At 42.4% G+C, this 17,170-nt stretch overlaps 1 protein-coding gene and 1 pseudogene across 8 annotated transcripts in view; one reads left to right on the top strand and one right to left on the bottom strand.

Moving 5' to 3' along the window:
• Positions 1-17,170, bottom strand: part of FMN2 (formin 2) — a 383,305-nt gene that overhangs the window by 323,971 nt on the left and 42,164 nt on the right. Inside the window, exon 1 of one of the 8 annotated variants that reach the window (XM_017001841.3) lies at positions 10,721-11,425. The exons of the other annotated variants lie outside the window; for them this stretch is intronic. The gene's annotated coding sequence lies outside the window, so the exon portion shown is untranslated. Of the gene's footprint in view, positions 1-10,720; positions 11,426-17,170 lie in introns of those variants that run through there. 8 annotated transcript variants of the gene reach the window in all.
• On the top strand, positions 6,198-8,707 carry PSMD2P1 (proteasome 26S subunit, non-ATPase, 2 pseudogene 1; annotated as a pseudogene).

Raw genomic sequence — 17,170 nt, 5'->3', positions numbered from 1 at the left:
TTATCATCATTTAAAAATGAGGTAGGCCTTCACGTGCAGTGCTTTGATCTACTGAGCCCAAATATACTTCAATAGAATAAAGTAGAGAATTTGAACAAGTCATTTCTAAAGACCGTGCCCTTAAATCAACATAACAATTGGGACTTAGAAACCAGGATATTTATCCATAATATCCATGTATAGACCCATAGAAGGATGGTTAATTTCTACCATATATTTCTTATTTTCTGAAGCTATGGATATAGGGAAGGTTACTGTGAAAACCTATCATCTCTTTGCCTTTGAACATACCTGTGAAATGCTAACATGTGTGGATGTAGAGCCTGTAATGATTATTCCAAAATACATTTAGGGACTTCTGCATAATAGACACAGCAGTTAAGAGCAGGCATTTCAGAGTTTATCATACCTAGATCTCAATGCTTCTCTACTAATTATTATGGCCAGTCTCTTTATAAAAAATACACCTAACAAAACCTCCAAGGGGTGTTAAAGATCAAATGACATGTGTAAAACCCTCAGCAAAGCTCAAAAAGTGGTGACTATTAGCATTAAACGGGTCACTAGAGGGATTTAGTTTGACTTTTACTGGTGAGGCCACACCGTTGGTAAGAGTTGAGAAACAAAACCAATTTTCATCACCTAGCTCAGTACTCTTTAGCTGGACTTTAGTCTCAAATTATTATTAAATATCAGCTTGACCTTAATTAAAGCCTTGATCTAACAAGGCTGTGAGCAAGATATGCCTTCCCTGTTTTTCTTGGTCTCGCGTTGTAAAAACTTTCCTTGTGTTTACAGACATTGTTTCTTGTTCATAATTAATGAGCACATGGGATGGATGTCTTGTTTCATCAATAATCATTTTCCTTCTGTACACAGAAGAGACTACCCAGTTTCCACCCGCGTGATTTGTTGACTATGTCTGATGGCTGGCTGACCTCAATTTTCATTTGCAGTTCATCGTATCTATAAGCATCCATGATCTTTGTATCTTGATGTAAGCTTCTGTACAAAATTTTTGTTCAAATCCTTAAAAGTGAAAACATATTTCAATAAGGGTTAATCATTTAGCTAAAGGAGCATATAACCTTTAGCAAATACAACTTAATTAAAAATCTGTTTTATCTGAAAAGGAAGTTGTGTTATTTTAACCAATCAAGAGACTTTAATGGAGTAAGTGCTGTATCAGAAGAGGACAAAAAATACTTAATCAACATTAGCATTTATACATATCAGATTGTTTTCTCTAATGTTATTGATACCTTAACTATAACCATATTTGTTTTCACCTGTACTCAGGGGAAAAAAAACACAAATGCTATTTTCTTGAAAAATCTATAAAGCTTTCGCTACTCTCTAATTTCAAAAATTTACCTCAAAGAATTTTTGATTTTAAAATGTAAAGCTATTACAATTAATCTTCCTGTGAATATATTTTGCAGTGGTGAAATTTTAAGACGCCTTCCTGTAACTCCTTATATTTGGAAATGAATACTGTTCTGAGAATTCTTCTGCATAATTTGAAATGACCAGCAGAGGGCAGAGCTAAAAATTTGACACTAGAATCCCTGTGCATGAATGAGAAGAAATTTCCAAAATGAGGCTGAGGAGTTCTATTTTTGACTGAAATTTAGCACCTCGGTTGCTATATTTGCTGAGCTTAGAAACATGCCAAAAAGAAATGTCAACCTTATATTCTCTTCAGTGCAAATGGGGAAAATAAAAATCAACACTGCAATAAAATAATTTAATGCAGTACAAATGCTAGAATTAACCAACAACAAAGAACTGAAATGGATGTGACATGAATAGTACCTTGTTCATTTTATGCACACATATGAGGTGCACCTAAACAACTTACAAATCAAATACTTGGTGATAAAGGCAGATAAAAATATCTGTAAAAATTAATCTGTGAAAAGTAATTTTATCTGTATCTGTATGTGCATTACATAATAACTTCTTAATATAGAATATAAACCTTACAGACAAGATTCTTGCAAAAGTTTTCCAAATTTTTCTAGGGTTGTTTGAAACTTTGATAAGTACAAAAATGGTTACTTTATTGTCCACATTCTGCAGGTTCAATGTTTTACAACCCCTTGTATTTCAAAAGCACATTTCAAAACACATGTTAATATATAAAGGAAGAAAAACCCTGGGGTTTAGGCTTATGAGTACAGTATATATTGAATAAGATTACATTTAATATACGAGTTTTTTATTTATTTATTTATTTTTTTTTGAGACGGAGTCTCGCTCTGTCACCCAGGCTGGAGTGCAGTGGCGCGATCTAGACTCACTGCAAGCTCCGCCTCCCGGGTTCACGCCATTCTCCTGCCTCAGCCTCCTGAGTAGCTGGGACTACAGGCACTCGTCACCATGCCCGGCTAATTTTTTGTATTTTTAGGGGTTTCACCATGTTAGCCAGGATGGTCTCGATCTCCTGACCTCGTGATCCGCCCGCCTCGGCCTCCCAAAGTGCTGGGATTACAGGCGCGAGCCACTGCACCTGGCCAATATACAGAGTTTTTATTCAGCAACATACCTGGGTATGAACATCTGCATTTTACATCTCAAGTTTTTTCAAATAGAGAAAATTAAATAGAGAAAGTTCTTGTAAGAAATAAAAAGTGGTGTTAATTCCACCAAAAATTCTGTTAACCCCAATTGGAGACAAACTCAGTCTCAGTCTCTCTCTCTCCTTCTCTCTCTCCTCTCTTTCTCTCTCTCTTTTTCTTTCTCTCCCTGTCTCTCTCTCTTTCTCTCTCTCTGTCTCTCTCTTTCTGTATCTTTCCTGTCTGTCTCTGTCTCTCTGTCTTTCTCTCTGTCTTTCTCTCTCTCTCTCTGTCTCTGTCTCTCTGTCTTTCTCTCTTTATCTGTCTGTCTCTCTGTTTCTGTCTGTCTCTCTCTCTCTGTCTCTGTCTGTCTCTGTCTCTGTCTATCTCTGTCTCTCTGTCTATCTCTGTTTGTCTCTCTCGGTCTCTGTCTCTCTGTCTCTGTCTCTCTCTCTCTGTCTCTGTCCCTGTCTCTGTCTCTCTCCGTGTGTCTCTCCGTCTCTCTTGGCTGAGCAGTTTCTCAGTTACACACAAGAAGTTAACCAAAGCCATAATGATCAATCCAGGGAAAACGTTTTGTTGACAAGGCTTAGCTCTGGCACAGCATCTCTCATGAGCAGAGCTGTAACTCTTGAGAATTCAAAGGTGAGTGAAAGAACAAAAGACAAGAGCAGCTTCCATGGCGAAGTAGCAACTAATATTCACAGAACACACTTTCTAGAGCAAGACTTTCCCGAATCTGGCTTATCAAAAATTCATATTCCCAGAGCCCAGTCTCAGATCTAGTCAATCAGACTTTCCAGAAGCAGAGCCCAAGAATTTGCATTTTATAAATATTCCCAGGCAGCACAGTAACACAGAATAGCATAAGATGAAGCTGCCGACCTAGCCAGCAGGTAGCTAAGGGAGGTCCCTGTAGGTCATAAATAAGAGCTACAGTATGACCCTAGGGTAAAGCATCTCCAAGTGTAACAAGATTGGACTTGGTTTTTAAAAATCAAGGCCAGGTGCAATGGCTCACACCTGTATTCCTAGCACTTTGGGGGGCCCAGGTGGGAGGATCACTTGAGTGCAGGGATTCCAGGCTGCAGTGAGCTATGATTGTTCCATTGCACTCCAGCCTGGGTGACAGAGAGAAATCCTATCTTTTAAAAAGAAAAAAAAAATCACTCTTTTGTGGAGAAGGAACTAAAGAGAGCAGAGTGGACCCATGGAGACTAATTAGGGGACTACCACTTGAGACCAGCCTCAACACTAAGGCGGCTTAGACCAGAGTGATGGCAACAGAAAGAGAAAAAAGGCCAACAGATTGGCTATGGAGGGTGGAGAAAGGGCACAAGATGTAGAGTCAGCCTTCGTGGGTTGGAATTCCATCTTCTGCCGCTTACAAAACAACTGACTCTGGGCAAATTACCCTAAGTCTCAGTTTTCACATCAGAAAATGGAAGTCAGATTAACTGAGTTATTTAAGTTAAGACCAACTAATTGAAGAGATCATGTTAAGTACTTAGCACAGTGCTTGACCCTCAGTCAGTACTGAATGGCATGGCATGAAGAAACAAGAAAAAAAAGCCCCAATTTTCTATGACTTGCTCCTCCACTCCGGCCAACTAAACTGAAAAAACCAAATAGACTCACTTAGATTCATTAATCTGCATTCACCACGGGGTCTAATTGCCCCGTCTTCCACCTTACCCTGAGGAGAACATCATCCACCATTAGTTCTTTACAGCTTATCTCCAAAATGAGTCTGAAATTCCCATTCTATCAAGATTCCACTTTAAAGAACAGACTCTGTAACAACTGTCAAGTGAAATGGTACAATAATGATACTAGATTGGTGTTCACTTATTTGGGGGCAAGTTCCTAAATAAATTCAAAACAGTCTATAAGGAAAGTGAATGTTTTATTACTAAATAGTAAATCAGGCACTCTACTCTTCACTATATACTATTTTTTAAATTTTTATTATTTATTCATTTATTTATTTATTGAGACAAAGTCTCAGCTCACTGCAACATCCACCTCCTGGGTTCAAGCAATTCTCCCATCTCAGCCTCTCAAGTAACTGGGACTAGAGTTGCATGCCACCACGCCCGGCTAATTTTTTGTATTTTTAGTAGAGATGGGGTTTCACCATGTTGGCCAGCCTGGTCTTGAACTCCTGACCTCAAGTGATCTGCCCGCCTTGGCCTCCCAAAGTGCTGGGATTACAAGTGTGAGCCACTGTGCCTGGCCATACTATTTTTTTTTTTTTTTTTTTTTGAGACAGAGTCTTGCTCTGTCGCCCAGGCTGGAGTGCAGTGGCACAATCTCAGCTCACTGCAACCTCCGCCTCCTGGGTTCAAGCAATTCTCCTGCCTCAGCCTCCCAAGTAACTGGGACTATAGGCACATACCACCAAGTCTGGCTAATTTTTTGTATTTTTTTTTTTTTTTTAGTAGAGACGGGGTTTCTCCATGTTAGCCAGGATGGTCTCGATCTCCTGACCTCGTGATCTGCCCACCTTGGCCTCCCAAAGTACTGGGATTACAGGTGTGATCCACTGATCCACTGAGCCCAGCCATACTATTTTTTTAAATCACTTTGAACGTGGCATATGTAGACCCTATCCTTCAGTTACACAATCTACACCTGGGAAGAAGAGTGATTATATGTACCAACAGATGTCACCCTCAAAGACCAGCTAATTGATGCATGAAGCTCAAAACCTGTCTCCTGAGCACCCCTGTCTGCAGGCTATTGTGTCAAATGTTGTAGCATTCTAACACACATAATGCAAGATTTCTGCCTCGACCCTTGGCCTGGCTTTGGCTGCCATCTATTTTGAATATGAAAATCGCCTCATTGTCCCAGCACCCTCACTCATACCTGTGATTCCAGCACTTTGGGAGGCTGAGGCAGGAGGATCACTTGAGGCCAAGAGTTCAAGACCAGCCTGTGCAACATAGCCAGAACCTGTCTCTACAAAAAATATAAAAATTAGCAGAGTGTGGTGGTACGTGCCTGTGGTCCTCGCTACTCGACAGTCTGAAGCTGCAGTGTCATATAATTGCACCATTGTACTCCAGCCTGGGTCACAGAGCAAGACCCTGTCTCAAAAAAAAAAAAAAAAAAAAAAAAAAAAATAGAAAAAGAAAAAGAAAAATTGCCTCATTGTAGTAAAAACATTAAGTGCATGTCAAATACAATACTAAAGAAAAAGTTTTTCCCCTATAATATATACATATATATATTACTATGTATCCATGAAAATTAAAAAATAAAGGGCAGTGGCAGCGGAGATGGAGGAGGGAGGATGGGACAAGACGCTGGTGCAGTCCCAGCAGCCCCCAGCGGCGGCCCTCAGCGGCATGGATGAGAAGCCAAGCGGCAAGGAGCGGCGGGATGCCGGGGACAAGGACAAAGAACAGGAGCTGTCTGAGGAAGATAAACAGCTTCAAGATGAACTGGAGATGCTTGTGGAATGACTCGGGGAGAAGGACACATCCCTGTATCGACCAGCGCTGGAGGAAATGCGAAGGCAGATTCGTTCTTCTACAACTTCCATGACTTTGGTGACCAAGTCTCTCAAATGTCTGCGTCCACACTATGGCAAACTGAAGGAAATGTATGAGAACATGGCCCCTGGGGAGAATGAGCATTTTGCTGCTGACATCATCTCTGTTTTGGCCATGACCATGAGTGGGGAGTGCGAGTGCCTCAAGTATCGGCTAGTAGGCTCCCAGAAGGAATTGGCATCATGGAGTCATGAGTATATCAGGCACCTGGCAGGAGAAGTGGCTAAGGAGTGGCAGGAGCTGGATGATGCAAAGAAGGTCCAGCAGGAGCCACTGCTCACTCTGGTGAAGGAAATCGTCCCCTACAACATGGTCCACGACGCAGAGCATGAGGCCTGTGACCTTATGGAAATTGAGCAGGTGGACATGCTGGAGAAGGACATTGATGAGAATGCATACACAAAGGTCTGCCTTTATCTCACCAGTTGTGTGAATTATGTGTCTGAGCCTGAGAACTCAGTCCTACTGCGTTGTGCCCTGGGTGTGTTCTGAAAGTTTAGCCGCTTTCCTAAAGCTCTGAGATTGGCACTGATGCGCAATGACATGGAGCTGGTAGAAGACATCTTCACATCCTGCGAGGATGTGGTAGTACAGAAACAGATGGCATTCATGCTAGGCTGGCATGGGGTGTTCCTGGAGCTGAGTGAAGATGTCAAGGAGTATGAGCACCTGACAGAGATCATGTCCAATGTACAGCTCAACAGCAACTTCTTGGCCTTAGCTCGGGAGCTGGACATCATGGAGCCCAAGGTGCCTGATGACATCTACAAAACCCACCTAGAGAACAACAGGTTTGGGGGCAGTGGCTCTCAGGTGGACTCTGCCCGCATGAACCTGGCCTCCTCTTTTGTGAGTGGCTTTGTGAATGCAGCTTTTGTTTAAGACAAGCTGCTAACGATGATGGCAACAAATGGCTTTACAAGAACAAGGACCACGGAATGTTGAGTGCAGCTGCATCTGTTGGGATGCTGCTGCTGTGGGATGTGGATGGTGGCCTCATTCAGATTGAGAAGTAACCTGTACTCCTTTGAGGACTACATTAAGTCAGGAATTCTTCTTGCCTGTGGCATAGTGAACTCTGGGGTCTGGAATGAGTGTGTCCCTGCTCTGGGACTGCTTTCAGACTATGTTCTCCACAACAGCAACACCATGAGACTTGGTTCCATCTTTGGGCTAGGCTTGGCCTACGCTGGCTCAAATCATGAAGATGTCCTAACACTGCTGCTGCCTGTGATGGGAGATTCAAAGTCCAGCATGGAGGTGGCAGGTGTGACAGCTCTAGCCTGTGGAATGATAGCAGTGGGGTCCTGCAATGGAGATGTAACTTCCACTATCCTTCAGACCATCAGGGAGAAGTACTGAGCTCAAGGACTCTTATGCTCGTTGGCTTCCTCTTGGACTGGGTCTCAATCACCTGGGGAAGGGTGAGGCCATCGAGGCAATCCTGGCTGCACTGGAGGTTGCATCAGAGCCATTCCGCAGTTTTGCCAACACACTGGTAGATGTGTGTGCATAGGCAGGCTCTGGGAATGTGCTGAAGGTGCAGCAGCTGCTCCACGTTTGCAGCGAACACTTTGACTCCAAAGAGAAGGAGGAAGACAAAGGCAAGAAGGAAAAGAAGGACAAGGACAAAAAGGAAACCCCTGCTGACATGGGAGCACATCAGGGAGTGGCTGTTCTGGGGATTGCCCTTATTGCTGTGGGGGAGATTGGTGCAGAGACGGCACTATGAACCTTTGGCCACTTGCTGAGATATGGGGAGCCTGCACTCCGGAGGGCTGTACCTTTAGCACTGGCCCTCATCTCTGTTTCAAATCAACATCCTGGATACCCTAAGCAAATTATCTCATGATGCTGATCCAGAAGTTTCCTATAACTCCATTTTTGCCATGGGCATGGTGGGCAGTGGTACCAATAATGCCCGTCTGGCTGCAATGTTGCGCCAGTTAGCTCAATATCATGCCAAGGACCCCAACGACCTCTTCATGGTGCACTTGGCACAGGGCCTGACACATTTAGGGAAGGGTACACTTACCCTCTGCCCCTACCACAGTGACTGGCAGCTTATGAGTCCAGTGGCCATGGCTGGGCTGCTCACCGTGCCTCTCTCTTTCCTGGATGTTCGAAACATTATTCTAGGCAAATCACACTATGTATTGTATGGGCTGGTGGCTGCCATGCGGCCCCGAATGCTGGTTACGTTTGATGAGGAGCTGAGGCCATTGCCAGTGTCTGTCCATGTAGGCCAGGCAGTGGATGTGGTGGGCCAGGCTGGCAAGCCTAAGACCATCACAGGGTTCCAGACACATACAACCCCAGTGTCGTTGGCCCACGGGGAACGGGCAGAATTGGCCACTGAGGAGTTTCTTCCTGTTACCCCCATTCTGGAAAGTTTTGTTATCCTTCGGAAGAACCCCAATTATGATCTCTAAGTGACCACCAGGGGCTCTGAACTGCAGCTGATGTATCAGTGGGCCATGCATCCTGCTGCCAAGGGTGGACACAGCTGCAGACTTCCGGGGGAATTGTTGCCTCCTGCTCTTTTGTTACTGAGTGAGATAAGGTTGTTCAATAAAGACCTTTATCCCCCCCCAAAAAATATAAATAAATAAATAAATAAATATGAAAAGGTTTTCTCCACTTGTCCTATGACCCTGGGACCATGGCTCAGAAGTCTTCTTGTCCATCCATCTTCAGTAAATATAATCAAAATACAATTAATATTTACCAAAACCTGAGGTAACTTTCAGATTCAAAATAGCTCGGTTCATTACAGTCTTTAATCTCAGTTATATTTTGGCTTTGCACTAGCAGCTTTATTTTTTTCAAAGACACCCTCTTTTCATGCTCCTGACTGGGTCAGCAGGAGCCTCAATATAGCCTAACTGGGACCATGAGAAGCTCAATATCAGAAAACACTGATGACAATGAAGCCGCCGTACTCCTACCTACAGGCTTAAATGCAGCACCCTTGTAACTTCAAAGCTACAGGGAGACTCTGATATATTTCTGATCTGCATCCAAAGTGCATTCCATCAGTCTGTGATCAAAACTGTCCTCCTCTCATGTAGCGACTTCAGAATGAATCAGTGTTGCCAAGTTTTTCACACATAGCATCATGGGAACTAAGTCTAAATTACCTTAGAAATTGTGGTTCCAATTCAGATTTGGCTTTGAGCATCTGGTTCCCCCAGGCCGAATGTCCCAACTCAACCACCCAACTTCTGAGGACTTCCCTCAGAAGCACCATGTGAGCCCTGTCCAACGTGCCACATAGACACATTCTCTCCTGTCCTAAGAGTAAATAGTGAAATCCAGTCTCAGCAACTATCCTGTCCCCTTCATTTCATTGCACAAAATGCAAACATAGGAGACACTTAAAATTCTTGTTTTCAAAGTTCTCATTTCACCATGATGTTTAAAGTATATGGCTGGGCGTGGTGGCTCACGCCTGTAATCCCAGCACTTCGGGAGGTCAAGGTGGGCAGATTACCTGAGGTCAGGAGTTCAAGACCATCCTGGCCAACATGGTGAAACCCCATCTCTACTAAAAATATAAAAAAAGTAGCTGTGTGTGGTGGCGGGCACCTGTAATCCCAGCTACTCGGGAGGCTGAGGTAGGAGAATCACTAGAACCGTGGGGGCAGAGTTTGCAGGGGGAGGAGTTTGCAGTGAGCCGAGATCGTGCCATTGCACTCCAAACTGGATGACAGAGTGAGACTCCATCCCAAAAATAAATAAATAAATAAATAAAATACCGTTGCCTGTTATTTTTCATGCAGATTTTTCATGCAGATTACTCATGCTAAGCTTCACTCTTGTCTTAGGCTGTCTTCCATCTTTGAATCCCTAGTATTTTCTTAAAAGTATCCCTGACATCTTTTTCAAAGATCTCTAAAAATGTCCAGGATTCTTCATAACACATTCACCTGACCCAGAAGTCAGGTAATTAGTTTGTTAAAGAAATACTTGTTACCCAACTACATTTAACAAATGTACAGGGCCATTAACTACCAATAGTATGAGGAAAGTTAGACTCTGTTGTAAATGAAAGAAATTTTCCTTTTCTAATAGAAGTCAGTGCAGCATGGGGAAAAAGCAAACTGCCCTGAACAGCAGGAGACTAAGATTCTGGCTCTGTCAAAGCTATTTTGGACAGAAAAGTCACTTCACCTTTTCAGCTCAAATGTCTTCACTTGCCAATTTAAGAGAACTGGGCTATATTAAATACTTGTCTTCTTCAGTTTTGGTGTTTTTATTATTCCCTCATAAAACAGCAAATTAGTCAAGTATGTACACTGTACAGACACATGGCTTGAAATAATTAAAAGAGGAAAATTCTTCCCATATCCTGGGATAGGCTATGTTTGATAGGCAAATCAGGAAATACCTTGAAAACTTCTGCAAAATGGAAGAGACTTCCCACCCACCCCCCACAGAATTTAACCTGGACATGAGCTGTTCTACATATAAAATCCTGTAAATATCATGAAGTAAAATTACAAAGCACAGAAAGAGAAGTCACTCTCAGGAAAACAGCAGGCCCCAGCAGTCATTTTACAGACTATATATCCAAAGGAGGAAACAGTTTTGTGTTCCAACCTGCGTGGATCTGTGTTGTGGCAAGTTAGGGTCAGAGATAGCCAGAAATGCAAAAATGCAGTTGAAGGTTTTGTGTTGGTAATGGAACTTCAAAGCAAGGAAGAAAATGAACGTAATTTTCTTGTGCTTCAGTGTATTCTGCAAAAGGAAAATAAAAACTATCTCACCAGGCTTGTAATGAAGATTAAAACAGTTAATAATTGTAAAGTGCTTAAAACAGAGCCTGGTACATAGAAAGCTTAATGTGTTTTTAAATACTGAAAACAGTTTGTTTGTTTTTTAAAGCACCAGTACAAAAAAAACTGACAATGACCTGCAAACTGGTTACACACTGGAATGGGAACCATGATTAGCAAATCATTCACACCCAGAGGAAGAAAGAAAGTGAGAGTAAGCCAATGCAAGCACTCACCTTCACGCAATCTTAGCCAGCAGACCACTCACCAGGCCACACCCTCCAGCAGCTTACCAACTGAAACCAATTTATCTACCCAATAATACCTGTAGGCATCCTATCCGAACCCCCTCAGCCTCCAGACCTTGAGAATCTTGGCTCCCCTCCTTTCTACCATTCACCCTCTCTGGTCTTCTGACTTTGTAGCCTACTCTTTAAACCACCCCTTTAGGCTGATACCTTCAATTCCCACCCTCACTAACCTTCCGATACATCTACCTGAGCAAAAAGCCCAAGTGCACAGAGCTAATCACACACGTGGACTGACTTCACCTCCCATCTTCCCACCACACCCTACACCCCTCGTCTCCAAACCTCAGCCTGCTGAAATCTGGGCAGCGCTCTCAGCGCTCCACTGGAATTCCTCTCTACTAGGGTATTATCAGTAGCTTTCAGTCTTTATCTTGATTTCTTGGCAACACTGAATATCACTTAACACTCCTTCTTTCTTTTTAAAAAATATCTTGTTTTTTTGTCTTTATCATTCTCTTTGTAGCTTTTTTCCCCTTATTGGGTAAGTATTTATCTATACGTCAGTCTCTTCTTGCTTCCCATTCTACTGGCACTTTCCAGAGCATAATGGCTTCAAGTATCATCTACACACTGAAGAGTCGTCAATCTCTCTTCTCCTAGGCTCTCTCTCCTGACCTCAGATACAAAAAACTAATGGCCTTTTTGTATATATTTAAAGAGGTATCCTCAAATTCAGTAGGATTTTAATTGAACCAATCATCCCCACAACCTGCTCCTCATTGTGAATTTTACACACAGTGTGAATTGCATCACCCTCTATCTACCCTAGTGCTCAGACCAGAAACCTGGACATTCTCCTTGTCTCTGCCCACTCCCTTACCTTTACATGAGCAACCAAATCCCCAAGGCTTCTCACGTCTACCCTCTAAGGCAGCACTTCTTAAAGTGTGGTCCCCGACCGGCATCATTGGCATCACCTGGGAAGTTGTTAGAAATGCAAATGCTCTGATCTCAACTCAGACCAGCTGAATCAGAAACTTGGGGGTGGGGCCAGCAATCTGTGTTGTAACAAGCCCTTCGGGGGATTCTGACTCTTGGAGTTTGAGATTAGTAGGAGTAACAATATTAATCCAAGTATAATTAGAATCTGCCTTTTATTTAATCCCAAATTTCTTTCCCAAATATAAGTAAGATTATTTTATTAATTAACTATTGTGGTATTATGAGAAGAAAATTAAGATGTATGATTTGTTAAAGGAAAAGCTCCAATTCTTGTACTAGTGCAACTCCCTGGATACTTGGAAGTCCTTTAAAAGGGGGAAAAACAAATTGTGTGACCACATGCAATTTTTTTTTGTTTTTTGAGACAGAGTCTCGCTCTGTTGCCCAGGCTGGAGTACAGTGACATAATCTTGGCTCACTGCAACCGCCAGCTCCTTGGTTCAAGCGATTCTCTTGCCTCAGCCTCCCAAGTAGCTGGGACTACAGGCATGCACCACCATGCCTGACTAATGTTTGTATTTTTTTTTTTTAGTAGAGATGAGGTTTCACCAATTTGGCCAGGCTGGTCTTGAACTCCTGACCTTAAGTGATCCGCCCGCCTCAGCCTCCCAAAGTGCTGGGATTACAGCCATGAGCCACCGTGCTCGGCCCACATGTAATACTTTTTAAAAATAAAAGGATTTTCTACTACCTAACTCCTTCATAGTTGAGGGCACTGTTCTCTCCTGGATTGCTGCAACGGTTTCCTCAGGGTCTTCCAGCATCCTAACCACAAACACAGCACACCCCTCAGTCCCTACTCCTCTAACACCCAGAATGCTCTCTCTAAAACACGCGACTGACCACGTCATACTCCTCCACCTAACACCCTCCACCGGCTTCCTACTGCTCCTGAGAATAGGGTTCACTTCTTAAACGTTTCTTCCAGAAGCCTTCACAAATGCCTCTGGGTCCCAGGCAGCATTTCTCTTTTCTTTTTACTTTTTTTTTTTTTTTTTTTTTTGAGATGGAGTCTTGCTCTATCACCCAGGCTGGAGTGCAGTGGTGTGATCTCAGCTCACTGCAACCTCTGCCTCCCGGATTCAAGGGATTCTCCTGCCTCAGCGCACACGACTGCACCCGGCTAATTTTTGTATTTGTAGTAGAGACAAGGTTTCACCATGTTGGCCAGGCTGGTCTCAAACTTCTGACCTCAAGTGATCTGCCCCTTGGCCTCCCAAAGTGTTGGGATTACAGGTGTGAGCTACCGCCCCTGGCCACAGTACCATTTGTTAAGACGCCTCTTCTGTTCCTCCTCCTGTACACTGGGCTCCAGGCTCCGGGCATCCTCGACCACTCAAAACCTGAAAACTCTTCTATCACCCTTTATCAACTACTGTACCACCGTGTCTGTTCACCCAGTAGCCCCTTTCCACAGTAAGCTACACAAGAACAAGAAAAGGCCCTATATTTTTCATAGAAAAATTCCATAAATATTGTGTGACTGGCTGGTGAGCACACATGGTAAGAGACAGAAAGAAAAGCTCAGAGAATAAATTTACTATCTATGTATTACATGAGTATAGAGCAGGGGCTAGCCAACCACAGCCTGCCAGCCAAATATGGCCAGGTGCTCTGTTTTGTAATACAAAGTTTTATTAGGAAACACAGCCGTGCTTATTAGTGGCGTATTGTCCGTGGCTGCTTTTACACCACAACAGTGGACTTGAGTAGTTGTGACAGGCACTGTAAAATATTTACTAAAGCCTAAAATATTTTCTATCTGGCCCTTTACAGAAAAACTTGCCAACCCCTGATCTAGACAATAAAGGTAATAACAGGAGAATAAATCTTCTTTCAGATTTCCAAAGTCCAGTACAAATTGGGAGGACCTAAAAAAAAACAAAAAACAAGAAACAAAAAAACCCTTTAAGCTCCTGAATTAAGTCATGTTTTCTCTGTACAGGGTCCTTCACTTTGCCATAGAGTCCCAATTTTTTTTTTTTTTTTTTTTTTTTTGAGACGGAGTTTCACTCTGTCACCCAGGCTGGAGTGCAGTAGCGCGATCTCGGCTCACTGCAATGTCCGCCTCTTGGGTTCAAGCGATTCTCTTCCCTCAGCCTCCCTAGTAGCTGGGATTAGAGGCACCCACACCACGCCCAGCTAATTTTTGTATTTGTAGTAGAGACAGGGTTTCACCATGTGGGTCAGGCTGATCTCAAACTCCTGACCTTGTGCTCCGCCCACCTTGGCCTCCCAAAGTGCTGGGATTACAGGTGTGAGCCACCGCACCAGGCCAGATTCCCAATTTTATACTCCTCCTGGCTCTTGAGAAAAGGAAAAGGAGGTCAGAAGAAATACAAGTCACATCAATAGAACTAATTAATATTCAGTGCATCTACAGGAGAAAGACAAGAAAAGAAAATCATGACAGAAAAGTCGAGCTGAGTCACCCCTTTTAATAAAAGTCCATCATACAAATTCAAAATGAATTCTGAGTCACCCAACACTGTTTGCCAAATGGGTGATTAAAAAAAAGTACCAGTTGTGAAAGTCAAAATGGATATCTAAAACAGCATAATCCTCTTAAAGGAGGAAAAAACAATCATGAAGAAAGTATGTCATTGTCTTAAAAAGTCTGATTGCCACGAGTGTGTTTTTTAAAAATCTATTTTTCTAAGCTTCAATTAACTTTACTGTTGGGAAGCATTCTAAAATCTATGAAACTACTGACTGGTAGCACTTCCTCTGAGCTCAGAAAACTTCATGATCGGGGGAATAACAATAACTATCATTACTACTTTTGCAACGATGCACTTGAATTGAGCATAACGGGGGAAAAACATCACCCGTTTTGCCCTCTGAAATAAGATACATAAATGGCAACACATATTAGAAATTTATTAAATCACGTACCGGATCAGAAAAATAAAATAATCTCAAAATAGGCTTAAACATAATAATCTCCAACTATGCTTAAAAATACATATGCTTAAACACATATGTATAAAAACTTGGTTACTGATTACTACAAGATCCAGTCATACAAACATTCACTGAGTAGTAACTGGGGACAAATTACTATAAATTGATTAAAAAAAAAAAAACATGACTAGGCATGGTGGCTCATGCCTGTAATCCCAGCACTTTGGGAGGCCGGGGTGGGCAGATCACCTAAGGTCAGGAGTTCAAGGCCCTCTGGCCAACATGGTAAAACCCCATCTCTACTAAAAATACAAAAATTAGCTGTGCATGGTGGCATGTACCTGTAGTCCCAGCTACTCGGAAGGCTGAGACACGAGAATCGCTTGAACCCAGGAGGCGGAGGCTGCAGTGAGCCGAGATCGCACCACTGCACTCCAACTGGGTGACAGAGTGAGACTCTGTCTCAAAAAAAAAAAAAAAAGAAACATGACAAAGTCCTTTCGAAAATGATAGATTCCAGAGAATTAACAATTTTTAAAATATATATTGAAAGCCTTCTACTTCACACTGAACTATCTGACTACAAACAGAGGGGACATAATTTAACTCACTATACAATCAATATTGTGGTAAAGAAAAGTTCCCCATACGAGGCAATTTTTTTCAAACCATATAACAAGTGCATAGCCTTCAAAGAAAGAAATCGAGTAGGAACTTCTGGATACATATCCACTTATTATATTCTTTATGAAATAAATTGACTTCATAAGAAAAAAGTAATATTGGATTGGAAAATATCCCTTACAGAAAACTCAGTAAGCAGATTTCTTCCTATTTATATGTATTGACTGTTCCCATCCATGATTTTACCCCACAAGAAATTATCCAATCAAGAAAATAAAATGAACTCTTTGAAAGAGAAGAGCAATGTTGTGTAGCAAAACAATCTCCAGCCCTCTCTGGTTCCTCCCTGTCTTAGGAATTCTAGATGAAATGGAGGTCCCTATTCTTTGGTGAGGTGCTAGGGAAAGCAAAACGATTCATTCTTCCATGCCACGTTATCTGTCAAGTATGCCAGACACTTGCACACATACACACAGAGAGCTAAATAAGCACAACGCATGTCAATATTCAAGTGCAATACTTCCACAGACTGACCTAGGGAAAGCATGGAGTCACTACGGGATGGTCATGAACATAACACCAAGTGGGCATGACAGATTTCCCTTCACAATTTGCAGTTACCTCCCCGTAGCTTTCCCTACTCTTTCCATTTCCCTTCCACTCCATCCAGAAAGATGTGGGGGCATGAGGGTTGGTGAAGGAATGTGGTAATTATAGCAGTAAAATTAAGTAAAATGGATTGAGAAAGGAGGATGGCAATAAGCCCAGAAGAAGAGATCCAATACAGAGTCAACTCCCAGACTAATAAATTAATTCCAGAACACAGCCAGATCCCATCCCTTCTCCCATCTTCTCCCTCTTCAAGTGTTTTCTTTTTTCTCTCTGTCTCTCTTTATTTGTTGTTTTTGTTTGTTTTTTGGTGGGACAGGGTCTCACTCTATTGCCCAGGTGGAAGTGCAGTGGTGCAATCACAGCTCATTGCAACCTCAACCTCCCAGGCTCAAGTGATCCTCCCACCTCTCCAATAGCTGGGACTACAGGTGTGCACCACCACACCTGGCTAATTTTTTAAATTTTTTGTAAAGACAGAGTCTCCCTATATGGCCCAGGCTGGTCTCATACTCCTGGGCTCAAGCGATCCTCCTGCCTCAGCTTCCCAATCCCAAAGTGCTGGGATTACAGGTGTGAGCCACCACACCCAGTCCAAGTGTTTTCAAGATTATCAAACATAGGCAACCTTTGATCATTCAAGACAATTCACTGAATAGATTCTCCAGTTCCTCCTCACTGCAGTCATCATGGCTTTCCTACAGCTCTCTTCTTTACAAAATCAAGGCATATTTATTAAACAGTTATGCCTGATTCTGTAATAAGAACTTGAAAGGCAATAATATTAAATACCAATCACTAATAATTACCTAGCATTGATGATGTGCTAGACATTGTGCTAAATGCCTAATAAATTAATCTCATTTAATCTTCAAAACAACTCC

Source organism: Homo sapiens, chromosome 1 (genome assembly GCF_000001405.40).
Source record: "Homo sapiens chromosome 1, GRCh38.p14 Primary Assembly".
NCBI classification, from domain to species: Eukaryota; Metazoa; Chordata; class Mammalia; order Primates; family Hominidae; genus Homo; species Homo sapiens.
This window is presented reverse-complemented; position numbering and strand designations above follow the sequence as displayed.